General features: G+C 55.3%; 1 protein-coding gene and 1 long non-coding RNA gene across 13 annotated transcripts in view, besides 2 other annotated features; both read right to left on the reverse strand.

The window, feature by feature from the left end:
* Nucleotides 1-7,028, reverse strand: part of SYT7 (synaptotagmin 7) — a 74,674-nt gene extending 67,646 nt beyond the window's left edge. For all 9 annotated transcript variants that reach the window (XM_011545343.3, XM_011545340.3, XM_011545337.3 and 6 more), the window contains exon 1: nucleotides 6,921-7,028. In XM_011545343.3, coding sequence (XP_011543645.1) covers nucleotides 6,921-6,969 — 49 coding nt within the window. In that variant the 5' untranslated portion in view covers nucleotides 6,970-7,028. The remainder of the gene's footprint in view (nucleotides 1-6,920) is intronic.
* Nucleotides 8-167: a silencer, noted in NCBI's record as "silent region_3396". NCBI's record gives its function as "represses an Ori minimal core promoter by ATAC-STARR-seq in GM12878 lymphoblastoid cells {active_cell/tissue: GM12878}" and the evidence as "EXISTENCE:reporter gene assay evidence [ECO:0000049][PMID:35858748]".
* Nucleotides 47-6,914, reverse strand: LOC105369331 (uncharacterized). Of its 4 annotated transcripts, XR_950166.3 has the most exons (5): nucleotides 3,982-6,914; nucleotides 3,157-3,410; nucleotides 2,314-2,393; nucleotides 1,237-1,286; nucleotides 47-634 (listed from the first exon to the last, which is right to left on the reverse strand). It is a non-coding gene; the product is annotated as an uncharacterized LOC105369331 (long non-coding RNA). The 4 variants fall into 4 exon arrangements; XR_001748243.2 differs by lacking the exon at nucleotides 47-634 and having other exon boundaries at nucleotides 847-1,286; XR_001748244.2 differs by lacking the exons at nucleotides 47-634; nucleotides 1,237-1,286; nucleotides 2,314-2,393 and having other exon boundaries at nucleotides 3,089-3,410; nucleotides 3,982-4,194; nucleotides 4,294-6,914.
* Nucleotides 5,406-5,985: an enhancer, noted in NCBI's record as "H3K4me1 hESC enhancer chr11:61354237-61354816 (GRCh37/hg19 assembly coordinates)". NCBI's record gives its function as "activates a minimal SCP1, AML or CMV promoter by ChIP-STARR-seq in naive H9 embryonic stem cells {active_cell/tissue: H9 hESC(naive)}" and the evidence as "EXISTENCE:reporter gene assay evidence [ECO:0000049][PMID:30033119]".

The following is a 7,075-nucleotide window of genomic DNA, read 5'->3' on the forward strand; positions in this document are numbered from 1 at the left end:
CGGCTCCGCTGCGCGACCCACCCCCAGCCCGTGCTCCCCCGATGGCCGCGGCCTGGCACCGGGCAGGGCCGCAGAGCCGGCCACCTCCTCCGAGGTGCCCTTTGGCTCCGATCCAAAAGGCGTGGAGATCCACTCCGGGTTTTCCGCTTGCTGGCGGCTCGAGGGCGTCAGCTCCGGACTCAACACCGCGGCGGTCCGGGGCAGACGGACTGGTGTGTGCAAAAACCAGGAGTGGAATTTTTGGCAGCGCTGAGCCTGGGTCCGCCAGTCCGGTCTTTCTGCAAGCTCGCACACAGGTGGAGCCGAAAGGGCTAAGATCCCTGCCCTCGGTAGGAGGTTTGGCCTAGTGACCCTCCTCACCTAACCCAGCCCCACGAAAGAAGAAAATAGACTTTTCAGCCTCTGGCTATCCCTCTATAGCAGCAGCTCCTCCTCTGATCCTCCCCTCTATTCCTTGACCCTAGCACTTCGGAGGGTAGGAAGGAAATCCCTCCTTCTCCTTCCAACCCTGGACCTCTCTTGGTCCCCTCTGCCTCTCTGCCGGCTCAGCACAGTCTAAATCAGGTGAACACTCATTTCTCTACAGAATTTGGATGATTTGATTCTGGGGCAGGGAGGAGAAGAGACCTGTCTCCTAAGGATAAGAAAAACCCAGAAATGAACCATTAGTGGTATGGTAGGCACAGAGACCTCCCTGCACACACCTACACACGTAATCACCTACATACACACACACACACACACACACAGACATGATGCCCCCCACACACACACCCACACAGACATGCTGCCCACACAAAGAGACACATACACTGACGCTCCCCACAATACAGGTGCTGCCCCTACCCTTCACTGATGGGTCAGGTAAGAGGGCAAAATCCCTGGGTCTGTGGCAGCATCCTGCCCTCCCCTGTGCTGAGAATGCAGTTTGCAGGTGAGCCAGGCTTCCTAGAGTCAAGGATTATTATTTCCACCCTGAGAAATCCACTTTTGCTGGCTTTATACTGCACTACTCATGCCCAGCCACACCTCCACCTGCCCACAGTGTGGAAGGCAGCCAGGAACAACCCTCTATCTCAAGTCTCCCCGACACACACACAAACAGACCCCATCCCCTTGAAATCACATGGAGGCTATCCCCAACAACCACCACACACACACATACACACATACACATTCACCTCCACCTACAGCTTTTCCGGTTGAGAAAAAGATAAGGAAGTTCCCCCAGCAAACCTCCATGAAGACTGTTCCAGTGGAGAGCAGATTTCCTGGGAATGAATGTTCTACATAAAAATGGAAGGAAAAAAGGCATCGTAGGTTAAGGCCACAATTCCTCAGTGGCCAGAAATCTCAGCCCTCACCCTCTGGGGAAGGGCCATCCTATTCCATACACCTCACAGCTGTCTTCCCCCCACTCACCCAAGTACAGCCAAGAACCCAGGAGTTATCTACACTCTGCTTTGGGACCTGGCAAACCCCAGAAAGCTAAGCCAACAGGCTGGGACTGCAAGGTCTGCAACCTTGGCTCATTCCCCCACCCACCCCAGCTGCCTCTCTCATTACCCTAGTAAAGAGTAAACAGGGGCTGGGTATGGTAGCTCACACCTGTAAGCCCAGCACTTTGGGATGACGGGGCGGGAAGATCACTTGAGCCCAGGAGTTGAGACCAGCCTGAGCAACATGGTGAGACCCCATATCTACAAAGAAAAAAAAAATTAGCCCAGTGTAGTGGTGCGCCCCTGGGGTCTCAGCTACTCGGGAGGCTGCGACGGGAGGATGGCTTAAACCCAGTAGTTTGAGGCTGCAGTGAGCCATGATTGCACCACTGCCCTCCAACCCGGGCAACAGAGTGAGCCCGGTCTCAAAAAAAAAAAGAGCAAATAGGGCACCCCTCACCCTCCCACAACAGATGGGCACACAGACAGGTTCCCTGCTGAGGAATCTCCCCACTCCAGATCCCTCCACCCATCAATCTGAAAGTCCAGAGAGGGAGAGCAGAATTCCTCATCACCACCACTCAACAGGTCTTTACTAAGCATCTAAAGTTTTTCAGAGTTGACAGAGAGGACATCTGAGAGATGCCCCAGGCTGCCCCTTGCAAGTGTCAGGTGATGAAGGCAAGGCCTCTAGAAGAGAAGGAACTGACCCAGGGAGCTAAAGGCCCCGGAGCCAGCACCCTGGGGAGCTGGTGAGAGAACCTGGAGTAAGAATCACTCTGGTTGAGACTCCCAGCCCTTTGCTAACCACTGTGGGATTCATGAGGAGACCCAGTGCTTGCTCCCATCTGAGGGCTTATAGCCTGTTTCTTACAAGAATACGAAGCCCAGTCTCATCCTCTCCTCACGGGCATTAGACGGTCCTTGTTCCAGGATGTCAGAGCTGGACAGCTCCTCAGACACACAAGAGAAACGCCATGAGATATAGTTGTGCAAACTGCGGCTCTGGGGCATTGGGAATCTTGGGTAGTTTTTAAATTCCTGCCTGCAGCATTGACACAGAAAAAGCTTTGAAGACACCCCTTCTCTGGGCCTCAGTCACTTTGTTTAGGGGACGCAGAGTCATGGGAAAGAGGAAAGAATACAGATTTATGTGGCGCTGCCATCATTGCTGTGTTTACCCTGGGCAGACACCTCTGGGCCTCAGTTTCCTTGTCTCTACAATGGGAATAATAACACCTATTTCCTTTGACTATTGTTAAGTTTAAGCATGGTGAAAAAATCAAATCACTTAAAATGATACTTGGGGGACTGGGCGCGGTGGCTCACGCCTGTAATCCCAGCACTTTGGGAGGCCGAGGCGGGCAGTTCACAAGGCCAGGAGTTCGAGACTAGCCTGACCAACATGGTGAAACTCCATCTCTACTAAAAAAAAAAAATACAAAAATTAGCCGGGCGTGGTGGCATGCGCCTGTAATCCTAGCTACTCAGGAGGCTGAGGCAGGAGAATCGCTTGAACCCGGGAGGTGGAGGTTGCAGTGAGCTGAGATTGTGCCACTGCACTCCAGCCTGGGTGACAGAATGAGACTCCGTCTCAAAAAAAAAAAAAGGAAAAAAAAAGATACTTGGAACATATAATTTATTCCTTATACTTTTTGAATGCCTTTATTATTATTGTTGTTGCTATTTGTTTACCCTTAACAGAGACGACACATACTCCCCATTCCCATGTGTTGCCTGTCAGGAAAGTTCTTCCAGATGTCTAACCATGAACCATTCTGCTGCATTAGAAGGCTAATCTCTCCTGCTGGAATATCGATGAGAGCCGAGCCAACTGTGAGCTTCTAGGAGCTGCTGGGCTCCTTGACCCTGCCAGCCTGAGCGCCAGAATCCAATCCCAATTCTTTTCTGAGTACTCACGGAGAACTGGGTAGAGGCAGTAAATGGAGCCTGCAGGAGTGAGCAGGTCCTCTGAGGAAAAAGATCAGAGGCTGTGAATCACCCCTGCCCTGCCCTTGGGTCTTGTATCTCATTGGGGAGGGCCTGAGCCTCTGGGCATTCAGCTTCTCCCCTTCCAGCCCCTACAGAAGGGGGGCCCAAAGAGGCCCTCTCATTCTGTTTCGTTGCTGGTCCCCTGTCCTGGGTTCCATGACGTGGCAGGAAATGCGGGCAGCACCTGATTCCCCAAGGACTGCCCTGCTGTGTGCTGCAGACCCTTCAGGCCTGTTTCCGATCTGGCACCATCCTCAGGGCCAGGAGTCCTGGGTCGGCTTCAGGGAGGGACATTCTGTCCCTCAGGAGCAGATGCTGGGCCTGCACTCTCCCAAACAGGGCCCCTGATGCTGCCTGGCTCTGTTGCTAGGCCATGGCTAGGAGGCAGGGCTCCTGAGTTCCCCTCTGGCCTCTACCTGGCATGGTCTTCATTGTTGCTGTCTCCCCACAGTCCTTTCCCCCTACCCCCACCCCCTTGGCTATGGGCTGAATTATTAATAAAAATGCTGAGGAAGCTGTTTGTGCAGCTCACGTGACAGAACAAACACACCTCTCTCCTTGCCATCATCCATGTGGCAAGAGACTCAGGCTGAGCATTCGCCTGATTCAGGAGGGACAGGCTTAGACCAGCTGGAAGTTGGCTGTGCAGGGCAACAGCAAAGCCCACTGGTGGTGACCGGCCAGGAGTGAGGACTTGTTCTGTCATCCTGTACCTTCTCCTACCCCCTAGACTTCCCCTTCCTCCTCTGCAGAGGACAAGAGTCTGGAGAAGATAAAAGTATAAAGTTAACAGATATCTCCACCCCAGAAAGGACATGAGAGCAAACTACTAGGAGGCAGCTGCAGCCATCTCTATACCCACCTCATCACCATCAATACTTGCTGATCTATTGCCTCCTCTCGCCAGACCCAGTAACTACCAGATCTCAGAGGCCCACCCAGAGTCTATGCTTGTCACACTTCTGCCAGGTTCTGCTTTGGGGCCCTGGTGCTAAAAGACAGGGTTTGGACCCCAGCATCAAGGGAAGAATCTGAGACTCGAACTCGGGTCCTACCTCTGCCTGTTTCTCTGTTTGGCTTTGGCTGGTTACTTGACATCTCTGGGCCTCAGTTTTCTCATCTGTAAAATAAGGCTAAGAATTGCTCCACACAAAGATGTGAGAATACCCTGGGGAGATGGCAAGGGCTGGCTGTCTTTCCTGGTTCCCTAGGGGTAACCCCAGGCACCAAAGACCCTGCTGCAAGCTGACTTTCCATAGCTATAGGCCCCCAAGGGTCTCTCAGGCCATGTTACAGGGCCAGAAACCATATTCCCACCTCACCCTCACCCTATCTGTCCTCCCACACCCCTTCACCCTGTAACCTCTTCATCCAGATTCTGGCTCTCAGTCTCTCTCTTCTCCATGGTCACCCTGACACTCCCCAAGTGTTTGGCTCAGCCCCTCAAATCCCTCACCACCCTTAAAAGATTGAAGTTGGTATTCCTTCTTCTGCCTTGGGACAGCCCCAGGCTTGGGCAGAAGTTTGGCCTTGGGCCTCTGCTCTGAGACATTCCCTACCCCTTGGGCAGCTCTGGGACCCCTGAGACTGACTGAGGGCCATGGGGGCTACTGAGATCCCCTTCCTGGGATGCACTGTGGAAGCACCTCAGTTTGCTGATTACTAGGTGAGTGACCCGGGGTCAGCCCCTCAGTCCTTCTGAGCCTCATTTTACCAGTCTGTACCATAGGATGTTGTTTTTTAATCTTGACTGGGTCTTGGACCCCTGTGAAAATCTAATGAAGTCAGTGGACCTCTCCTCCCTAGAAAAGTGCATATACAAACACAGACACAACATTTTGCCCATAATTGGGTGTGTGTTTGGGGTGGGGGTCCTTCGGGTTCCAGATGAAAAGCCCCTGGCCCAGAAGCCTGCAAGACTGCTTCCAGCTGTCAGTCTGAACCCAGTTCTCTGCCCTCCCCATCCTCTCCGCAGTGACTTTTGGGTGTGGGGGAAGAGGGGACAGTTAGGGAGGTGGGTTGCTGGTCTATCCACACCTTTTCTCCCTCCTGCCTCAGTGGGCCCCTCCCCCAGCATTTCCTGTGGCTGGTGCCAGCTTGTCTGCAGCTCAGACCAGCATTTCAATCCCTCTTGGAACCCACTGAACTGGCTTCACCTGCCTTTCAAGGTATTTAAAGGTTCTTTGACCAAATGCTTTTTGATCCTCCGCTGATGGGAACCAAGCAGAAGCTCTTTCGCCAACTGTCCCCCCTCCCCCCACATGATTAGTCTCTAAGAGCTCTTTTGATATTGCAGAAACCTTCTGTGGTTTGTTCAAAGCCCTGGGCCTTTCAGCCACCTCCCCCGGGGACTCAGGCCAGTCAGCTCCAGCCTCCACCACCCATACCCAGGGGTGGCCTAGTTAATGGGGGCCTCCCAGCGCTGAACGACTCTGGCCTGAGTTGGAACCCCAGACCCGAGCCCAGCTGGTAGAGCGGTCAAGCCCCGCTCCTCTCAGGGAGCCCAGGCCGAGTCTGGTAGTGTGGGGTGGGGGACCTGTTCCCCAGCCTTCAGCGGGCCGTTACTCTTCTTCCCGCCCAGCTGAGGCTGCACAGACAGGCATGCAGGCCCACGATGATAGCAATTGACCTGTTTCCAGGTCTGAGGCTGAGGCTGAGAAGGGGAAACTGAGGCTCTGAGAAGTCCAGGGTTCAGGCCTTGGTGTGTGAGAGGGCAGGAGCCAGAATCCACCAACCCAAGACCTGCTCCAGCAGCCCCACCCCAGCCAGCACCACTCGCCGCCCGCGCTCCTGGTCCTCCAGGGCCGCGCAGAAGGCGCGCCTGGGCTGAGTCCCAGCTGCAGAATTCCTGGGGGGCGGGGGACGAGGCGTCTCCGCTCTTAATAGCTGAGCGCCCGCAAACGCCCGGCCTGGGCTCGAGGCCTGCCCCTCCAGCGACGGGCGCCCCCAACATTGAAGTCTTTCTCTGCAACTTGGACGGACCCACCCCGAGCGCCCCGAGTATCCGGCCCGGGGCAGAGATGCGCGTGCGCGGAGGGGGTGCCGCGGAGCCCGCGTGAGCAGACAAATTACCGCGGACCTGAGAGGACCCGTCCACGCCGGCCCAGAGGGAGGAGGGGGACGGTACACAGATGGGGGGGCGGGGGACATGACTCTCTGAGGGATCCCCAACCCCAGGATTGAGGCCCCACCCTCTGCCCTAACTGGAGTTGAAGACCTTAGTGGGGGTGGGGCCTATCCCTCGCAGGTGGAAGGGTGATCTGCACCGGGAGAGCTGTGACTGTCCCGGTTCCGCGATCCCTGGCTCTGGGCTCAGGAGGATGACGGGAGGGGCCCCAGCACTCCGAGAGCTGGGCGAGTTCAGGTGGCCAGGCCCTCTCCCTCACCAAGGCCTCTGGGGGAGCTGCTGGGCTCCTTGGTTCTGCCAGCCTGAGCGCCAGAATCCAATCCTGCTCTATAATAATCATCAGAGCAGCCGGCAGCACTTACTGAGCTCCGAGGGACTGCCAGGCCCGGGTGCCAAGTGCATAACACGCATTATCCCGCTTAATAGTCACAGAAGTCCCGTTGTGATCCCCTTAGGAAGGTGAGAGGGTTGAGGCGAGGGGCGTGGCTTGTCAGGGGCGTGGCTTGCCTGGGGCGTG

This window comes from Homo sapiens, chromosome 11 (assembly GCF_000001405.40).
Source record: "Homo sapiens chromosome 11, GRCh38.p14 Primary Assembly".
Classification (NCBI taxonomy): Eukaryota; Metazoa; Chordata; class Mammalia; order Primates; family Hominidae; genus Homo; species Homo sapiens.